This window comes from Homo sapiens, chromosome 10, assembly GCF_000001405.40.
Source record: "Homo sapiens chromosome 10, GRCh38.p14 Primary Assembly".
In the NCBI taxonomy this organism is placed as follows: domain Eukaryota; kingdom Metazoa; phylum Chordata; class Mammalia; order Primates; family Hominidae; genus Homo; species Homo sapiens.
This window is the reverse complement of record NC_000010.11, coordinates 34524141-34545187: the sequence shown is the minus strand read 5'-3', so window position 1 is coordinate 34545187 and position 21047 is coordinate 34524141. Positions and strand designations below refer to the sequence as shown.

Sequence of the window (21047 nt, the reverse complement as noted above, 5' to 3'; positions counted from 1 at the left end):
TGTAGGTTATTGTTGAGTCAGGTAATTAAATAAAAATCTGATGAAAGAGGAATCAAATAGCCATTAACACCCTTCCTATTTTTTGAAGAGGGAACAGCATTATGCATGTTGGGTTTTGAAGCTCATGTGATAGAAGACTGAAATTATGTCTTGACAGAACCCCTTTTTTCCTAAATTCTTTGGCAATTTATTGAGTGCACGAACTCAATACAGGTACTATGAGAGCAGAAAGTGTTCTTGCCTGTGGCTTGTAGTAGTGGTTAGTGGTGGGCTTTATATTACCTTTTAGTGTCTCTGCTTCATGGCTTAACTTCACTAAGCAAGAGGTGCTCCAGTGTAAATGAGAATAATAGTTACTACATCCTAACATTACTGTAAGAATTAAACAAAATGAATTTATGGATGTCACTTGGTACAGCAAGTCTTCATAGATACTGTAGTTTTTCTTTGTTCTTGTCCTTTATTCTCAAATTGTCATCTCTATAAGGTTAGGACAGAGTTTCCCAAACTTGAGTTGGTATTACAGATTTCTGGACTCCAGCCCCAGAGTTTCTGATTCAGCAGGACTGATGGGGCCTGAATATTTACATTTCTAACAGTTCCCAGGTGATGCTGGTGCTACTGGGAGGGACCACACTTTGAGAAACTCTGGGTTAATGTATTATAAAGGCAGGTGTTATTTTGAGCCAATACATTATGTAACCCTTTCTTTTTAAACCCCCTGAGTAAATAGCATTTAAGATGGGCAAACTTGATATTATATAGTGCCATATGCCCCAAGCAGTTAAATTTGAATTGTTTTTTATTATTAAGGAAATTTAGAGCTAGAATGACCTAGTTATTTCAGAAATAGAATGATTTAGATTTTTGAGGATTTTGATAGCATCTAAGTATATACCTATAATATTGGCTTAATTTTAATGAAAGTTGTTAAATAAACATTTTCCTTGAATGTGGACACTACTTATGTTTCTAGTGAATTTTATTCACTTAAACATTTTTTTCCAAAAATTTTAAGTGTTAATAGATGCAGAATTCAAAAAGAAAAGTTAGGCTAGGATCCTTTTAAATTTATTTTATAGCTCCCTGTGAAAGATCTGCAGAAACTGAGCTCCTTTTAACGTCATGATTTTTACCACATGTTGAAGATAACTAGAATTGTCAACCAAGTCTTGTTGTGAGTTGCCAGTGATCTGCCATCATCTGTGAGAATTAAGCTTCACTAATGTAATTTTCTTGATGAGTGCCAGACAGGAGCAGGTACCGAATATATGGTGTTGACATACTTAATTTAGTGCTCTTTCCACAAAGCTATTACATTGACTATTAATTGGCCTTCTGATAAAATTTCAGCTTAATGCAAATGATGACAAAAGGCATCCTAGGATACTGGCTGCTGCTTCTGAAATTATTCACATGCCCTGAGATCTCATTAGTGACAGTGCACATACCCACTTTTCTTTGGAATGTAATTAGGGTTCTTTTAAATATAATGGCTAACATTTAGACTGTGATTTAAAAAAATATTTTTGACAAAACCTCTAACTTAAGACTTTGTAGTTTGTTCTTCTGTTGTATAGTTGCACATCTTCCATAGTTTGAAAAGCAAAGAGGAGCTTATGTTCCATTCTTCACACTCTCTGGTTTTCCATTATATTGGCCTTGCCTGGGAACAGGTTGCACAAGAAAAGTTCAACAAGAACTTTAAGTTGCGTTTTGGTTTATTGAAGTATGCATGGTGAACAGCAAGTAGATTTCTGTCTTTTCATGGTTTGGTCTTTTTTTCTTCTTCTTTTCAGTTTTCAGTCCTCTTCTCATTTATTAGCTTATATTTTAGGATTTTGCAAAATGTTATTCTTTTATTTATGTTAAATAGAAACATGAGAAAATCCTTTGTTTTTTAATTTTTATTTTTTGGAGACAGGGTTTTGCTCTGACGCCCAGGCTAGAGTGCAGTGGGACGATTATGGCTCATGGTAGCCTCAACCTTCTAGGCTCCAGGGTTCCTCCCACCTCAGCCTCCTGAGTAGCTGGGACCCTGATGTCTGGCTAATTGCTTTTTTTTCCCCTAAATTGGAAAAAAAAAAGCCTTTAAAAAAAGTCAGAATATTCCTTATGGATCCAAACCAAGTTCATGGATGCAAATAAATGTTGAGTTATTTGGACACTTTCATATCATCTTAGAATTTTTTAAGTCAATCCTAACATCTAACTCTTGAGCATGTTCTCATGGCCTGAGTGAGAATTGTCTTATCATTAAAGTTCTTGTGTGAAAATAGTGACGTTTAAACAAAAATTCTGGAAAATAGTGAATTTATTCACAATATGTAGATCACAGGAATGTATCATTTTCTGGTAAGTGATGTATAAATGATGATGCCTTGTTCCATCTTTTTAAAATTGTATGACACAATGCTTTATGCTTTTTTTTAGTTTTACAGTTCTCTGCAATGAGCACCTATGATATTTTATAATCAGAAGAAAATTATTTGTAACCATGTTTTAACAATGCCCATTAAGAGGCTACTGTTACACTTACTTTGTAAATATTATCAGATTTTGCTTAAGGCAATGCACATATAAATCCATATATGTTCTACAGGAGTGATCACCAGATGGGATGAAGTATAGGGTCAGTTAGTGGCCTTTAACTTTTTGGTTGTCTCCTATAATGGGGTTTCTCAGCATCTGCATAAATGACATTTTGGACTGGATTATTCTTTGTTGTGTGGGACTGTCCTGTGTATTGAGGATGTTTTGCAGTTTCCCTGACCTATACTGTTTAGAGGTCAATAATATTGACCCCAGTTATGACAACCAAATATGTCTCACACACTGCCAGTGTCCCCTGGGGGCAAAATTGCCCCTCATTGAGAATCACTACGCTAGAGTAAAAAATACATTTCACTTGGCAGCCCAGTGGGTAAATGCAAGCGTGTGTGTGTGTGCACACACACACACACACACACACACACACACACACACCCCAAACAACCTTACTGCTTTGTAAGTGTACATTGATATTTCCTATTTTATTTTGTTCCATTCTATTCATTCCATATCATTTTCTTTAAAAATGTTTGTGAGGATATTTTTCTGAATAGGGTGGTTCCTGTGACAGTTAGTCTTCACTTTAAAATGTGCATAGGCCAGGGGCGGTGTTGCTTGCCTGTGTCTCAGCTACTCGGGAGGCTGAGGCTGGAGGACTGCTTGAGCCCAGGACTTCAAGGCTGCAGGGAGCCATGATCATGCCACTGCACTCCAGCCTGGGCCACAGAGTGAGACCCTGTCCCACCTTCCCACCCAAAAAACGTATGTGGGTTAAAGATGAGCTGTTTTGACTCTATGTGGGTTTGCTTACAGCGAGGCATACCAAGATTAAAGAATACTGCTTATTCTGGGTTCTCTGTGGATGGGATGTGTACTGATGAATACATATAATATTGGCTTAATTTTAATGAAAGTTGTTAAATAAATGTTGTTTTCCTTGGATGTGGACACTGCATTTGTGGACACTTAAAAATTAGCTGCAGTTTAGGCACCAGCACTTCCCAGGGGCCTCCTCCCTATAATCTGACACATCACACACAAGGCAGATTCTCTGAGGTGTGGTCTAAACATGAGCAGGAGACAAAGGTTGTGCTGTTAGCATGAAAAGGTTGTGCCTTCTTGGGCTTCAGGGTTTTGTACAAGGTTGAGATGGAAGGCTGCCTATGAATTCAGAATTCATATACAGAAGATTCATATAGAATGAGAGAGTTTTGTTGTCCCTTCAGGAATATAGATTGTATCTTGGGGCAGATGGCTTTATGTGTCTCATACTGCAGATTCGAGAGATTTAAATTTTCATTTCTCTAAAGGAAACATTTATAGTTCTCAGTTCTTAAGCACACTGGAAGTTCTTCCCTTCTCTTTGCATTTGTGTTTCTTATACAAATACCATGTGTGAAATATCAGTTATACTGCATTTATGTACAGGATGAAGGTTTCTCCCTAGGGAATAAATAAACCATCCTCCATGTGCCTCATTAAAAAGATAGGAAAAGAAACGTGGCTTTGTCTTCTAAAAATCAGTCACAATTTTCTATATTGCATTTCATGGTATGGCTTTATGGAATATTTTTATTATTTAATTTTTTGAATGGCTTTTTGTTTTTGCTTTAAAATTTTACTTATATCTTAAATTAAGGATGCTGGATCTTGAAAAAGTTGCTATGGTGACTATATACTTAAGCTTGATGTCTCCAATTCAGAAATGGGTCATTGTTCTAAAACTTCATTGTAAAATCTGTTACTTGGAACTTTATTTTCTCATGGAAACAATATTGCAAGTAATAGATTCCAGACTCAATAAAAATAACTTATTTAAATCAGAAAGTAAAAAGATTACACCCCCGGTCCCCTCCGAGACAGGATCTCACTCTGTTGCCCAGTCTGGAACACAGTGGCATGGTCATGGCTCACTGTAGCCTCGAGCTTCCCAGGCTCAGGTGATCTTCCCACCTCAGTCTTTCGACTAGTTGAGACTACAGGCAAATGGCCACCACGCCTGGCTAATATTTCTATTTTTGTTTGTTTGTTTGTTTTTGTAGAGACAGTATCTTGCTGTATTGTCCAGACTGGTCTCCTGTCTCCCGGGCCCAAGCCATCTGCTGAGCGGGCAGCTCAGCCTCCCTAAGTCCTGGGATTACAGGTGTGAGCCACAATGCCTGGCCAAGTAAAGGAAACATTGTATACTTATATCTTTGTATTTATACTGGAGTAGTCTCCCCGCCATCCACCTTCCTTCCTTCCATGAATTCTCATGCTAGAACACGAGGTATAGCAGATACTATGTTTGGCATTTTTTTTTTTTTTAATATAGTGTGTTGTGAACCACAGGGAGCTTTGGAGGATTTGTTCATTCCCTGAATAGATATTTACTCTGTACCTACTATGTGCAAGACACTGTTCTAGGTCCTGGGGATGCAGCAGAGCAATCCTGCTCTAATGCGTGCTGTTGTTTGACAGCATAACCTGTAATTGAATGTCCTGGGAAGCAGGAGGCAGGCAGCATGAAGAAGCCTTAGAGCTGCCTGCAGCTGAGGGCCACGACCCTGGGAAAGGACACGGTGGCTCCTGAGGCTTCTGTTCCAGGGACTCTGACTCCCCATTCCGCCCTGCACACTTGGTGTGGTTTTCTAGAACTCCTTTTTGAAATAGGAAGATCTGGAAGGTAGTCGCGTATGGTTTCAAGAGAGCTTAAAGTGACAGTGTGTTAGTAAAATGTTTCACAACCACTCTCAGCTGAGGCTGAAGGAGTGGGGACTGATTTGTAGTGTTTGCCAATTTCTTTGGTGTACACACTCCCGCCCTGGCCTATTTCAGGAAGCCAATGGGATGTCCCTGAGTGTGGAGTTGGAAAACACACCATCATACACTTTTACATAGTGTTTCCACTGTGTAGATACAGCAGACCTAGGACAATCCAAGGCCACACAGAGTAGTAAAATGCAACACAGATGATAGGAAGTTTTACTTTCTTTTTGAGACGGAGTCTCGCTGTGTCACCGAAACTGGAGTGCAGTGTCGTGATCTCGGCTCACTGCAACCTCTGCCTCCCAGGTTCAAGCGATTCTCCCTGCCTAAGCCTTCAGAGTAGCTGGGATTACAGGTGCCCGCCACCACACCTGGCTAATTTTTGTATTTTTAGTAGAGAGGGGGTTTTGCCATGTTGGTCTCAAACTCCTGACCTTAGGTGATCTGCCCGCCTTGGCTTCCCAAAGTGCTGGAAATACAGGCGTGAGCCACTGCGCCTGGCTGAGTTTTACTTATTTATTACTCTGCTTTTTAATTTATTTAACTGTAAGTTTATATATCTTAATTTTTAAATGATGAAGGTGGTAATAACTGGCTTGCAAAATTCCTGAAAACTTAAGAGTCCTCATGAGCTAGTCTTCACTGGCTCCAGCATCTGGGAGCACCACAATACTTTACCTAAAATCATTATGGCTGGATGTTAGAATACTGAGTTGTTCAGATTTTAGGCAGGTAATATGGAATATGTGTCATAAGATGTAACACCTCCTGTGATGTCTGAGGCAGGACCCTGTAGTCAAAATTTTGGTATTTCTGTAGCAAAATGTGAATATTCACCAAGTAAATAAATACTACAAATAATCTTGGATTGGTTCAGAGTTGCTTTTGCCACCAAATGTACTTCTAACAAACTTATGAAAAATTTTTCATTTTGAGAGTCATTTGATTTTGGAATTGTGGACAAGGCATCATGAATCTGTGTCATTGTGTTTGCAAGTCACGGTTGGTGTTCCAGGTCTAGAAGAAACTGTGTGTTTGCTTTCTCACAATGAGAAGGAGAAGAAACTCAGCATGATCTCCTACTTGGATCATTGGTGCCCTGCCGGAGCGGCGCCTCACCCCTGCGTTTCTGCAGCCTCTTCTTCCTAGAAGGCTCCTGTCCCGGTGACTCTTCCTGTACTTCATTCTTTCTGCCCAGCTCGTCTGGCCTCCACTCCTCACCAAGTGCTTCATGCAAGATTGATCTGATTTTTCTTTTCACTCCCTCGGTTGGTGTGCAGCCCCCGAGCACATACTTGAAAGAGTGAAGTGAAACTTACAGCCACCTCTGAATAAACATCCCAGCAGTGGAACTGCATGTCCCAAAGTGCTTGAAATCTTGGCTTCTGTGTCTTGGCAAAGCTTATTTTCTTTCAATTTCTATGATTCAGACAGGTTGCAATCTAGTCAGTCATTACCCACATCTTTCTACACCTATTGTAGCCTGTTTATCAGCGAATGTATCTCTGAAGGATTTCAGCTGGTAAATTTGCATTAGGGACAGAGGCAGTTGAGCCAGTGTCTCCCAGAGTGGTCATACGTGCTAGGTGCTCTGATTTCTTGATGTTCCTGTTGTTTTTAAGATCTCACATGGAATATTTGATGCTAGGAACCCTAACTTACCGAATTCAGAGGTTTTTCTTCAGTATTACTTTTTATGAGTGGGAAACTATAAAGATTACATTTTATTTATTTATTTATTTTTGAGACGGAGTCTCGCTCTTGTCACCCAGGCTGGAGTGCAGTGGCGGATCTCGGCTAAACAATTCACAGTCTTGTGCAATATTCTGTTTTGTTCATTTATTACACTTAGGATGAAGTGTCACACTTTGTGAGGTGATTTTTTTCCCTTGTCATTTGCCACTTGCCTAAGTGTACTTCGCTGTCTGACAGTACTGAATCAGGTCAGTTTTTAGGTGGCAGCAATTTATAAATAACCTTCTCTTTCCAAAGAAGAAGCAACAGCTTATTAGTGGTTTGTTTATGAAGCTTGCTTTTAGTTTTAGGCAGCCTGGATGTTAATTGTCTAATCAGAGTTGTGTTTCACCATAAACACTAATGTGGTCAGTGTTTGAGTTTCTGTTTCTCTTTCTTGGACTGGTATTGAAAGACATAACTGATTTTAGATGTCTAAGCAATGGCTTTTCTTTGTATTTGCTGTCATGTCTCCTTATTACCATGGTCTGTGGGGACTGGTGTATGAAAGTGATTTTATTGTCAGAGTGGCTTCCAGTTCTTGGGGCATTAAGACATTTCCAGTAATTTCTGTGGTTGCAGAGATAAAGTTGTTAGTGGGAAGTGTGGACCCCAGTGTAGTCAAGGTCTGGGTTGGTTGGACTTCGAATCTGTGAACACCCATTGTCTCCTTGGCTTTGGCAGATGCATCCTGGTTGCTCCTTTTGTAGTACTGCTCTTATTTCCTTCTGTGTCATTGGCTCTCTCATTCTTCACCAGAAATTGTTTTTTCATTTTGTTTTTAATTTTCTTTACCCAGAATATAACTCAATTCAGAATTGACTAGGTCTTCAAGAGAAGGAATCAAAAAGTTAGAATACGGGCCAGACGTGGTGGCTCATCCCAGTGCTTTGGGAGGCCAAGGTGGGAGGATCACCTGAAGTCAGGAATTTTGAGATCAGCCTAGGCAATACATTGAGACCCTGTCTCTACAGAAAATTAAAACATAAGCCAGGTGTGGTGACACGCACCTGTAGTCAAAGCTACTCTGGAGGCTGAGGTGAGAGGATCGTTTGAGTCCAGGAGTTTGAGGTTGCAGTGAGCTTAGTTACACCCATTGCACTACAGCCAGGATGACAGAGCAAGACCTTGTGTCTTAACAGAAAAACAAAACTTAGAAGTTGCTTCCTGTTATATTTCTAACTTTGACCCCAATTAAGTTTATCACTGAAGCCCTAATTTTTCTTTCGCTCAGTTACCCACCTAGGGGCCTCATCACTTTTTCTTTCAGTCTTTTGGTCATGAATATCAAAAATTTAATGTTTTAAATTAATTATGTCCCATCCAAGGTGTTGACTGTGTTGACTTCTGCTTAGAAGAGCAGGGTGATGAGTCAAGGCCACTGTGCCAACCCAAAGGGACAGGAGGTACCACTGTAAAGGTTCAACCAAGAATGGTGAGAACCATAATTCAAGACTTCACACTGGTGATTGTATTCTGGTGTGGACACTGTCCACACTAAAGATTGTGAGATGTTTTCAGGACCTTCTACAAGAAAACGTGATGGTTTTTGGGAAATAATGATTCAGTACTTGTAATATCTTTATATAGGTTTTAAATAGTGTTTCCTTGTAATATCTTTATATAGGTTTTAAATAGTGTTTTTAGAAAACTGAGAGATTAAAGATAAGAGCTTAGGCCTTTTCCCACTTGGATACTTGACATGTTGTTTACAGTCTTTGAAACATGTTGGTATTGTAAAGCAGTACTGCTAGCACTGTTACTTCTTTCATAGATGTTTGGGGTGATTATTAATGGAGACTTAGTTTTTCTCCAAATTTTCTTCTGTTCAGTGAAGTCACTGTAGTCACTGTAGATTTGAAGATATAACAACATTAAATGATTTAAGTACTTTTTATATGCATATTTGAGGGAGTGAGTAAAACTATTAGAATATTAAAAATTTTTTTTTTGTTATACTGAAGTCCTACAAGTGGCTCCAATGTGTGGAAGCGTAGGTGTTGAGTAGAGGTCAAGGTGAATGGTGGGAGAGACACCAAAGTCTTTCAACGAGAGTTTTGAATTGGTGATGAATCAGTGGTGAAGAACTTGGGATTATTTTTGGAATGTTTTATCAGCTCTTGATTGACAGAATACACTCTCGTTCTCAGTTTTTTTTAACAACACTATTAATAACAGTACTGACTAGATTTATTACTAAAAACCAGCTCGGGTGTTTGTCCAGTAAGTTTACTGTCTTTGAAGGAAAAGCATTTTTGTACCAACAAAATTTTGAGCATTGACATGGAGTTAATTATAATCAGATTTGGCTTTTTAAAGCCTAACTATTTTTTTTTTTTTAAAGATAATTGTGGGTTAAACATTAATTTAAAACTGTCTTGGCCAGGCAGGGTGGCTCACGCCTGTAATCCCAGCACTTTGGAAGGCTGAGGCTGGTGGACCACCTGATGTCAGGAGTTGAAGACCAGCCTGGCCAACATGGTGAAACCCTGTCTCTACTAAAAATACAAAAATTAGCCAGGTGGTAATGGTGCACGCCTGTAATCCCAGCTGAGGCAGGAGAATCACTTGAGCCTGGGAGATGGAGGTTGCAGTGAGCTAAGATTGCGCCACTGCACTCCAGCCTGGGCGACAGAGTGAGACTATCTCAAAAAAAGAAACAAAACCCCAAAACATATCTTACTTTAATATTGCTCTGTTTTAATTTGTGTTACTGTTCTTCGTCATGGAAGATGCTGAAATACTCTCGTCTCATTGCATGAACTGTCTGGTATCCGTTTTGACTTCCCTGTTTCCCTTTGTGTCTTAGATGGGGGATTTTCAGGCACACCAAGACAGCGTTCTCTGATGGCGATAAGCCCTTTGATCTTTTCCCCAATACTTAACACTTTTTGCTAATGTGTTAGAAGAATTTCTTCTTTCCATTCTCCTAATCTCTTCCTGCTTCTACCCATGCCAATATACTTCCTCAAGACATATGGGGATTAAAACGTAGGAATATTCAAAGCAGCTACTTATACAGAGTTTTATGTAGATTGTTACATAATTTTTTTGTTGCACTTAATATTATTCTTAAACCCTGGGTATCCTGCTCAGGACTACAATTTGTCTGCAAAATAGACAAAATAGGATGATTCATTTTTTGAGACAAGGTCTTGCTCTGTCACCCAGGCTAGAGTGCAGTGGCATGATCTTGGCCCACTGTAACCTCTGCCTCCCAGGTTCAAGCAATTCCCCTGCCTCAGCCTCCTGAGAAGCTGAGATTACAGGCATGCACCATCATGCTTGGCTAATTTTTGTATTTTTTAGTAGAGACATGGTTTTGCCATGTTGGCCAGGCTAGTCTTGAATTCCTGACCTCAAGTGATCCCCCAACCTCGGCCTCCCAAAGTGCTAGGATTACAGGTGTGAGCCACCATGCCTGGCCCTAAATTAGGATGATACTAATGATAGCAACAACAACATCAACCACCGTCCCTACTGTTCTGCAGCCGCTGGACCTTGGGCTCACTTGCTTTGTGCCTGTGATTTTGTTCACTGTCTGCATATACAGGCACATTTGCTCATAATGACCTCAGAAGTTTATGGCAACTTCCTGTGGTTGGCATTGTAGCCCTCTTCATTTATTAGACGAACAGAAACTGAGGCACTGAGAGCTCATGTGACCCATTCAATGTCACCCACTAGTCAGTGAAAATGTGTGGATTTGAATCTTTGTCTTCTGACCTCCAGGGCTGCCCCCTCAAATTTCTCCTGCCGCTCTTCAGCCTGAGAGGCACGCCCGTCCTTTGGAGTGGAACTCACCTCTTTCCATTGACTTGACCCAGACAGACTCCTCCTGTCTGCATTTCCACAGCATTCACATTCCTTCTGGGTCTTTTTTTTTTTTTGAGATGGAGTCTCGCTCTGTCACCCAGGCTGGAGTGCAGTGGCACAATCTCTGCTCACTGCAAGCTCTGCCTCCCAGGTTCATGCCATTCTCCTGCCTCAGCCTCCCGAGTAGCTGGGACTACAGGCGCCCGCCACCATGCCCGGCTAATTTTTTCCTTCTGGGTCTTAAGACCTCCTCACACTGATACTTGTTGCCTTACAAGTAGACCTGCCTCCAAAAGTTAACCCGTTGGCTATGTGGAAATTGAAGTGCAGCCTTTCATGGAAATGGGGGTGTTTATTATCTCTTGCCGACGTACTGAATGCTTTCTAGAGCTGAAATATTTTTGCCAACAGATAGAATTGCAAAGGACTGTTTTGCCATTTCTAGTGGATGTAGATGTTTAGGGCAAATGGTGTTAATCCAAGGAGTAACAGTGTACTTTTGGGTCAATAGTCTGTTTTTTTTTGTTGTTTTTTTAGATGGAGTCTTGCTCTGTCACCCAGGCTGGAGTGCAGTGGTGCGATCTTGGCTCACTGTAACCTCCGCCTCCCAGGTTCAAGCGATTCTTCTCTCAGCCTCCTGAGTAGCTGGGATTACAGGCATGTGTCACCATGCCTGGCTGATTTTTGTATTTTTTAGTAGAGATGGGGTTTCACCATGTTGTCCGGGCTGGTCACAAACTCCTGAGCTCAAGTGATCTGCCTGCCTTGGTCCCCCAAAGTTCTGGGATTATAGGTGTGAGCCACCGCACCCTGCCTGCAATCATATTTTTGGTATTCTCATGTTATAATTCTCTTATAGTTGATATAGAGTGATTGAATATTGCTTTTTTAAAAAAATATTTTCAACTTTTATTTTGGATTCAGGAGATATATGTGCAGGTTTGTTGCATGGATATATTGCGTTATGTTGAGGTTTGGGGTATGGATGATCCCGCAATCCAGGTAGTGAGCATAGTACCCAGTAGGTAGTTCTTCAGCGCATGTCCTTTTCCCTTCCTCCCTCTTCTAGTAGTGTTCAGTGTCTATTGTTCCCATCTTTATGTCCAGGTGTACTTAAAACATTGTTTACTTTTAGGTTCTGCCTTCGTACATTTATATGGTCATTTACTGAATAACAATATTTTGGTCAATATTGCATTGCATATAGGATGATGGTCCCATAAGATTATAATCCCATATTCTTATTGTACTTTTTCTTTGGTTAGATACGTTTAGATATACAAATACTTACCATTGTGTTTCAGTTGCATAGGGCATTCAGTACAGTGACATCTTGTACAGGTTTGTATCCTAGGAGCAAATAGGCTGTAACATAATAGCTTAGGTGTGTAATAGGGTATACCTCCAGGTTTATGTAATATACTCTATGATGTTCACACAACAATGAAATCACCTAACCAGAATGTATCCCTGTTGTTAAGTGACATGACTGTATCATAAAGTAGAAAAATGGAGTAGAACAACTGGAAGAGATCTTTCAGTGTAAAAATAGAGTTAGAAGATATTCAGAAGAAATTCACACTCTGCTAATATGTAACTTTGTAGTGTCAGAGTGATGTCATAGAATTGAGGAAATGCTCATTGATATTTAAGTGAATGTTAGAAAATGTACTTTTTCTTCTAATTTCTCATAGAACAAGGATCTATGAATCTGCCGAAAGTATATCCAGAACGAAACAACTCTGTGCATGTTTTTATGGAGAAAGTTCATTTGTAGCTTTATTAGATTAACAAAGTGTTCTATAAGCAGCACTTCACACAGTTCACACCATGTGGCACATAGCGGGCACATGGTGTGAACAAAAGAATAAATATAAAGAAAACACGTGATGAGCCCAGCCTTATAAGCTGGTGCAAAGTTGTCTACTCAGAAATAATAGTTAAAAAGTATAGTTGACCCTTGAACAACTTGTGTTTGAACTGCTTGGGTGTACATATGCATGGATCTTTTTCAGTAAGTATATTGGAAAAATTTTTGGAGATTTGGCATGTTAAAAATTTTAGATGAACTATGTAGCGAGATAAGGAAAAAAATTTAAAAATATATGTCATGAATGTGTAAAATATATATATAGATACCCTGTCATTTACAACCATAAAATATACAAAAATCTGTTACAAGAAGTTAAAATTTATCAAAACGTCCATATACACAGAGCATACGTGGTGCCATTCACAGTTGAGAGAAATGTAAGTAACCATAAAGATGCAATATTAAATCGCAACTGCATAAAATTAACTGTAGCACAGACTGCACTACTATAGTAATATCATAGCCCCCTCCTGTTGTTACTTGCAGTGAGCTCGAGTGTTGTGCGTGTCTGCTTAAAGTGCAGTGTGATGCTCATCATCTCCTTGTGAGCAATTTGTCTTCCCAGGAAATTGCATATCACAATAAAAAGTAATTGCTCTTGGTTCTCATGCATTTTTCATCATGTTTAATATGAAACTGTAAACCTTGAATAACGCCAAGGGACCCATGTGAAGTGCCACTAGTGATGCTGGAAATGCTCCCAAAAAAGGAGAGAAAAGTCATGACATTAGAACAAAGAGTTGATATGTACCATAGATTGAAGTCTGCAGCTACTGCAGTTGCCCACCATGTCAAGATAAATGAATCCAGTGTAGGGACCATTATAAAAAACAAGAAAGGAAATTCCTGAAGCCGTTGCTGCAGGTATGCCAGCAGGCACAAAAACCTTGTACTTTTGTGAAATACCTTTTCATCTCATATTGAAAATGCGGCTTTTATGTGGATGCAGGATGGTTAAAGGAAAAGCACCTATTGACTAATATGATTTGAGAAAAAGTAATGTCATTACATGGCAAGTTAAAGCAACAAGAAGCTGAAGGATTTAAAGCTGGAGAATTTAATGCCAGCAAAGGATGGTTTGATAATTTTTTAAAGAGGCTTGGCTTAAAAAAATGTTCAGCTAACAGAAGTATTAATAACTTCTGCCAACCAAGAGGCAGCAGACGAGTTTCCAGATGCACAATCATTGAGGAGAAAGAGTGTCTGCCTAAACACGGTTTTAATGCAGACGAAAGTGCTGGAAAAAATGCCAGCAAAAGATATTTATTAGTAAGGAAAAGGATCAAGCACTAGGATTTAAGTCCAGAAGAGATAGGCTAACTCAATTGTATTGAGCAGAGGCAGTCAGGACTGCCCTCATCTACAAAGCTGCTAACCCCTGAGCCTTGAAAGGAAAAGATAAACACCAGCTGCCAATCTTTTGATTGCACAACATAAAGGCCTGGACACTGGGAACACTTTTCCAGATTGTTCTATTGATACTTTGTCCCTGAAGACAGGAAGTACCTTGCCAGTAAGGGACTGTCGCCTTTTAAAGTTCTTTTGATATTGACCAACGCCCCTGGCTACCCAGAGCCCCAGGAGTTCAAGGCGTTGAAGTAGTCTAGTTGCCTCAAACACAATGGCTCTAATTTAGACCTGTAAGGCTCATTACACACAGTACCCTTTGGAAAGGATGGTCGTTACTATGGAAGGGACCACTGATAGAACATTATTATGAAAGTCTGGAAGAATTACCAATGAAGGTGCCTTCCTTGTGATAGAAATATCGTGAAAGCCAGTAAATCCCAAATAACAAATTCTTGCTGGAGACAACTGGGTCCAGATATTGTGAATGACTTCACAAAATTGACAACAAAGCCAGTTAAGGAAATCATTAAAGAGATTGTGGATATGGCCAAAAAAGTGGGGGATGAAGGACTTCAAGATATCAGTCTCAGAGAAATTCAGGAGCTCATAGATACCACAGCTTAGGAATTAATAGAAAATAACTTGATGGAGATGAGTATTTCCGAACCAGTGCCTGATCATGAGGAAGAAGACAGAGACGAAGCAGTGCCAGAAAACCAAAATTACACCATCTGACAGAAGGGTTCTGATTATTCAAGACTATTTTTGACTTCTTTTATAATATGGACCCTTCTGTGATATGTGTACTGTAATTAAATCGAACAGTGGAAGAAGGGTTGGTATTGTATGGAAATATTTTTAGAGAAAAAAAACAGAAAAAGTCAGACATTGTGATGTATTTCTGTAAAGTGACACAGTGGTGCCTGTCTCTCCTGCCTCCCTTTCCACCTTCTCCACTTCTTCTGCCTCTGCCACCCCTGAGACAGCAAGACCAACCCCTCCTCTTCTTCCTCATGAAGATGATGACGATGAAGACCTTTATGATGGTCCACTTCCACTTAATGATTATTAAATATATTTTCTGCCAGGCATGGTGGCTTAGGCCTATAATCCCAGCACTTTGGGAGGCTGAGGCAGGAGGATCACTTGAGGTCAGGAGTTTGAGACCAGCCTGGTCAACACTGTGAAACTCCGTCTCTACTAAAAATACAAAAATTAGCCGGGCTTGGTGGTGCACACCTGTAATCCCAGCTTCACAGGAGGCTGAGGCAGGGGAATTGGCTTGAACCTGGGAGGTGGAGGTTGCAGTGAGCCAAGATTGCACCACTGCACTCCAGCCTGGGTGACAGAACAAGACTCCATCTCAAAAAAAAAAGTAAAGTAAAAAATATATTCTTTGCCTTATGATTTTCTTAATAATATTTTCATTTCTCTAGGTTTACTTTATTATAAGAATTCAGTGTGGAATACATATAACACACAAAATAGGTGTTAACTGTTTCATGATAGTGGCTAGGCTTCCAGTCAACAGTAGGCTTTGGTAGTTAAGTTTTTGGTGAGTCAAAAGTTATACTCAGATTTCGACTGTGTGGGGGGTTTGCATCCCTGCATTGTTCTAGGGTCACCTGTTTAATAGCACTGGGGTGATAATGCACATGTGTCCTTGTTAGAGAAAGAGCTCATGGGCCTCCTTGTGGTGTTGAGTACTGCTGATCCAGCTATTCCATGCTACTTTTCTTTCCCTAGTTTTGTGAAACCCTGTTTCCTTGATTTTATTTATATTCTTTAGTCAGTTCTCAAAATCCTTTGAAAGTGGTTTGGAGGAAGGGAAGAGGAACCTGCAATCTCAGCAGTTACCCAGGTTTGAGTTCTGATTTCCATGGGTGATCCGCATTCAGATTGGATGAAACCTGTGGCTTCAATTGTACCTAAGTGTGGACGGCACCCAATTACAAGTAGTTAGCCTCGAACTCTTTTTTGTACCATGGACTCCCATCTCCAGTTGTGTCCCAGGAACTGGCTGAGAGCATGTGATAGTTTTCCCTGTAACTGAATGCATCATCTTTTGTTTTTGTTTGTCCTTGTGCCTGTCCTCTGCCCAACCACCCAAATGACAAACCTAGACACCTAAAATCTGTCATTTTCCTTCATAATGGCACCCATCCACCACATACCAAGTCCTTTTAAATAAGTCTCCATTCTGCATTTGAATAATTATACATCCTGATTGTCTTTTCACCACCTTTCCATTAGCCTTGGCCCTCATGACTTCTTCATTATTAGACTAATGAGCTACGAGTGTTTACCCTCCTAGTCCTTCTCCATACCCCTTGAAACCTCGTGCAGAATAAATGCAAGTTAAACTGCTGTGTGTTAATGACACCCCGCAGTTTTCAGGATAAAGTCTATATGGCTTAACTTAGTTGTCTTTCATCTTCCCCTCTTGATTACCTCAGTCTCTTGAAACTTTCTCAAATATTAGTAACATTTCTTAAAAACTTGCTACTTACAGGAAACATCCTAAGCAATTTGTCATAATCAAATGAAATTTATGGGGAAAAAACAAAACAAAACAAAACAAAACAAAACCTATCACTACTGAGCCCAGAGGAGTGAAGAAGTTACCTAGGGCCACGCAGCTGGTGAGTTGTTTGAGGCTGACTCATCTTGAGAGCTCATTCATGATTAGCAACCTTGTGGTGGTAGAATGAGTGGAATTCCTGGCAAACCGCAGGATAAAGTGTCTCCATCTCCATTATTCTGGGTCACTTGTGTGGACGTTGTCTTGGGAAGCAAATGAAGGCAAGTAGAGGGTTTGGCTTTCCTTAGAATAGATTTTCTTTAAAACTTAAAATTTTTAAACTCTTTGTGCTTGACTAAGTCCATTAGATGGCACTAGTATTTACCTTCCAGAAGATTGGCATTAAATTTCAGTATTAAAGCAATTTGTGGATTGGGGGAAATATTTAACTTGCAAGTTATTTCTTTTACCTGTCAAATATGGGAGTGAAAAGATGGGCACACAATATTTATTCTGTGTTCAGTTTTTTAAAAACATTGCTAAACAGGTTATACTAATGAAGAGTTGATAAAAAGAATTTTATTATTTAGTTACTTTTTGAATAAACCTGCCAGTTGATTAAAATGAGCCTAATTTAATCAGTATTGTATTGCATACTGAAGATAATTTAGGCTAATGTCAAGGACACCGTTATCTCTCCTTTGTAGAAGGTGTTGAAATAATGAGAGTAGCAAAAAAGGAGTCAGAAAATGAAGTTTTTCATCTTTGCCCCTGGGTGGGTATTTAAAAATCACACCCTTCCTTCTTGCATGCAAATTAAACTGAAAGTCATTTTGTACTGTAATATTAACCTTACATTTTACAAAATAAATTTATTGAACTTTGATCTTTTGCTAATATTGGTTTGTGGTTGTCAGAATGAATTTGAGGTTTTCATTGTGTGTCATTTTCACCTGGACTTTCATTCAGAACTTGAAGTGAACAGAAGTGGTGGGTTTGATATATCTTAATTTGAAAATAAATCACTGTTAAGCAGCAACTCCTAGTTCTACTTTCTTCTTTTTTTCTGAATCACTTTTTTCTTCTCTATCTACCCTCCCCACTCCAGCCCATGTCTTAATAGAATCATCTGAATTCCTTTCTTCCTTTAAAGTAGTTAAACGGCCCTCAGTTTTTCTTGTGATGCTTTTAGATGGAAGCTAAGTCATTGCTGAGGTTCTTGTTCAAATTGTGAAGTCAGCAGGTAAAGGGATTATGAACTCCCAAGTGAGTCCCCTATACAAAGGGCAGGTTGCCTTGGAAACAAGGCTAGTTCTTAGAGTTGGAAATACCATCTTGTCTTTAAATGCCAGGGCTGGTGATGTGCTGACCCCTGCTGCATCATCTCTAGACCTAACATTGTGTGGAGAAGTTTTCCATGACTTTGTGCAAATTGCTTAACTGCTTCCCAGTTCTGATTGATTGGCCAAAGCCACAGCCAAGTTTTCTTTTCTAGTGCTTCTCATTTTAAATATAATTTGCAAAATTTAGGACTAAGGAAGTGATCCTTCAAGTTTCTATTTTAGAATGAAAAGTTTTCCACTACTGATTGCCAAAAAATAAAGTATAGAGTTTACCAGATGGCAAGACATTTTAGTGATGAGTCATTTTTTACAAGTTCAACAATGGAATGAGTGATGCGTTAAGGAAGCCCAACGAGGGAATGTCTCGGTTCTGTGAGATGGTATTACTTGATGGTAGAGACGGAATTACCCTTGTTTCTGACGACACTGGATATGAACTGTAGCAGGGAGCTCAACGGTACAAGTTGGTAGGAGGAGGCAGTTGTAGCTTAAGTGGGACTCCTACTTTCCCTGCATCTAAACATTCGTAACTTGCTGGTGGCACAGCAGGAGGAGGGTTTGAGGGTGGTGTGTGGGTATGGAGACAAGGGCTCCCCACCCGTGGAACCAAGCCCTGGTTTACTATATCCAGCTAGCTGAAGAGGTAAAAAGACTAGAAAGAAAGGGCCTTCCTAACTAAAGATCTCAGCTCTGAAAGACTAGAAAGGAAGGGCCTTCCCACTAAGGATCTCAGCTCTGTTTTTGTGGACTCACCAGTGGATGCAGACATTCAGAGGAGCAGGAGAGCAGGGCATGCTCCTGCCTGGTCGTGACTGTCCTGCTATGTTTCTGGGTTGTGCATTCACATTGGCAGCTTTTCATGCCCTGGGACTATTACAGCGTAGGGACTGGGGGAGATTTCAGGATGTGACTTATGCCTGGGAGTGAAGGGAGTGGTGTTTAGTGGAGATTAGGAAGAAGATGGAAAGTATTTCACCCCCAGTTGCTTGCTCACTAACGTTTAACATTGTGATTGGTGCTGTGGGTTTTGGTGGTGGTTGTCTTTTAATTACAGTTTAGAGAGGCTGTGTGTGTGTCTGTGTATGAGAGAAAGAGAGATTTTGGTTTATCTCGTTAAGACCTATCTATTTCCTACATGGTGTTGGATTTTTTTTTTTTTTTTTTTTTTTTTTGATACGGAGTCTCTCTCTGCCACCAGGCTGAAGTGCAGTGGTGCGATCTTGGCTCACCGCAACCTCCATCTCCCACGTTCAAGCGATTCCCCTTGCCTCAGCCTCCCGAGTAGCTGAGACTGCAGGTGTGTGCCACCACGCCCAGCTAATTTTTGTATTTTTAGTAGAGACGAGGTTTCACCATGTTGGCCAGGATGGTCTCCATCTCTTGACCTCATGATCTACCTACCTCTACCTCCCAAAGTGCTGGAATTACAGGCATGACCCACCATGCCTGGTGGACTTTTGATTAATAAAAATATTTTGGCCGGGCACAGAGGCTCACGCCTCTTAGAAAAAAAAAATCTTTTTTTTTTCTTTTAAGCAAAATCCCTACTGCAGACTGTGTTGTTAATTTAAAGAGTTACTATTGAGGGATTCTCTTATTTATCATTTGTTAATGCAGGCATTTCTGGATACACGTAAACATATGAATTGTCAAGCTAAATTGTTCACAGATTAGAACACTATGCTGTTGACCCCTGTTTCCACGTTACTCCCTCTTAGATATGTTGGAAGGTTGGCAGAGTGGCAAGGCTGGAACATATACCCATAGGTGAGGTACTGCTCTAATATCACAAACCATGGGGCTAGAGCCTGAGACGGGTTTGAGGTCAAGTTTCCTGGTACTGTGTACGAGAAAGTCTATCCACACTTTGCCATTCTTGGCTTAGCCAGTAGGAACATTCGCTAGTCTTTAATGTGCTCATGGTATTTTAGTGTTCTTTTCTAAGTTTTAGGTCTTTTTTATCAGACAGTATATACCCTTCTTAATATGCTGATGAAGCGTGGAATTAATCTCACATGCATAACATTTAAAGTTTTCCAGTGGCAAGCTTAAGATTCTTGTTCTGTAGCGAGTTTTTATTGGTATAGTTTGTATTACTATGATTACAAAACATCATTGGTTCAAATATATCCTTTTGCTTACTCGTCCAGTTAAACACTAGCTCTATTTAAATGAGTTTTTAATGAACCATGCTAGCAAGTAAGGCTCAGAGAATGATTAAGGATTTAGTATTGTCTCTGTGTCATTAAAGTAAATTCAGTCATCAGAAAGCTTACAAATTGATTTTTAGTTCCCTTTTTGTTGTGTCTACGTAATAATTAGTTACTACATCATCGCATTTGCTTCTGAGATTATTCATCTTGCCCATTTGCCAGTCTTACCATGTTCTCTTTGAGGGAACACTGCATGTGTTCATGATAAAATCACAACTCGTGCCACTTCCTCCAGTTTGGAGTCAACCTATCTGTATGTGATTAGCCCATTTCTGAATTATTTTGTTCTGTCTTACTGTGCTATCCTACTTTTTATTAATACTTAAGCAGTAGTGTTATGTAGTTGTAACCTCATGGGTGGATACCAGTGTAACAGTGGCACTCATGATAGAGAGTAGAGCAAGAGGGGTTTATATTATATTTGGCAGGTGGGTCAGTTAGCTGATGGCTATACGAATTTGCATATTTTCATTGTGGTTTGTGGTTGACATACTCAAGGCTATTAGTTGAACATAAGTCTTAAACTGGGAATCTAATTAGTCTGAAGGCTCAGTGGGTGATAGACTATGTCACCCTGAGGGACAACAGAATTAAATTTCAGCTCTGAAATGTAAGCATCAGGGCTAGGGAGTATCATAGGTGAATATCTTTCACTGTGGTTTCCAGATGCAGTGGAATATCTCTATTAGGCATGAGTGTTCAAGAAATACTTTCTTCTTAAAGGATGGCATTAGCTCTTGTCGGACAGGTCTCCCTTTGGCAATTGACAGATAGAAGCTTATGATGATGGTGGTCTCCTGTGTTGTTCAGGAAGCAGCGGGAATGTTCTGCCCTCTCCTGCATGATATTTTGCTGGAAATGGCTTTATTAAAGATTGATCTCATTTAGCTCCCTTTCTT

The 21047-nt window shown here is 39.8% G+C and overlaps 1 protein-coding gene across 11 annotated transcripts in view, besides 3 other annotated features; it reads left to right on the top strand.

The window, feature by feature from the left end:
* The window catches only part of PARD3 (par-3 family cell polarity regulator), a 705736-nt gene that overhangs the window by 270109 nt on the left and 414580 nt on the right, over positions 1-21047 (top strand). The window lies entirely within an intron of this gene.
* Positions 5019-5308: an enhancer, noted in NCBI's record as "active region_3254". NCBI's record gives its function as "activates an Ori minimal core promoter by ATAC-STARR-seq in GM12878 lymphoblastoid cells {active_cell/tissue: GM12878}" and the evidence as "EXISTENCE:reporter gene assay evidence [ECO:0000049][PMID:35858748]".
* Positions 16467-17042: an enhancer, noted in NCBI's record as "OCT4-NANOG-H3K27ac hESC enhancer chr10:34817074-34817649 (GRCh37/hg19 assembly coordinates)". NCBI's record gives its function as "activates a minimal SCP1, AML or CMV promoter by ChIP-STARR-seq in primed H9 embryonic stem cells {active_cell/tissue: H9 hESC(primed)}" and the evidence as "EXISTENCE:reporter gene assay evidence [ECO:0000049][PMID:30033119]".
* Positions 18433-19188: an enhancer, noted in NCBI's record as "H3K27ac hESC enhancer chr10:34814928-34815683 (GRCh37/hg19 assembly coordinates)". NCBI's record gives its function as "activates a minimal SCP1, AML or CMV promoter by ChIP-STARR-seq in naive H9 embryonic stem cells {active_cell/tissue: H9 hESC(naive)}" and the evidence as "EXISTENCE:reporter gene assay evidence [ECO:0000049][PMID:30033119]".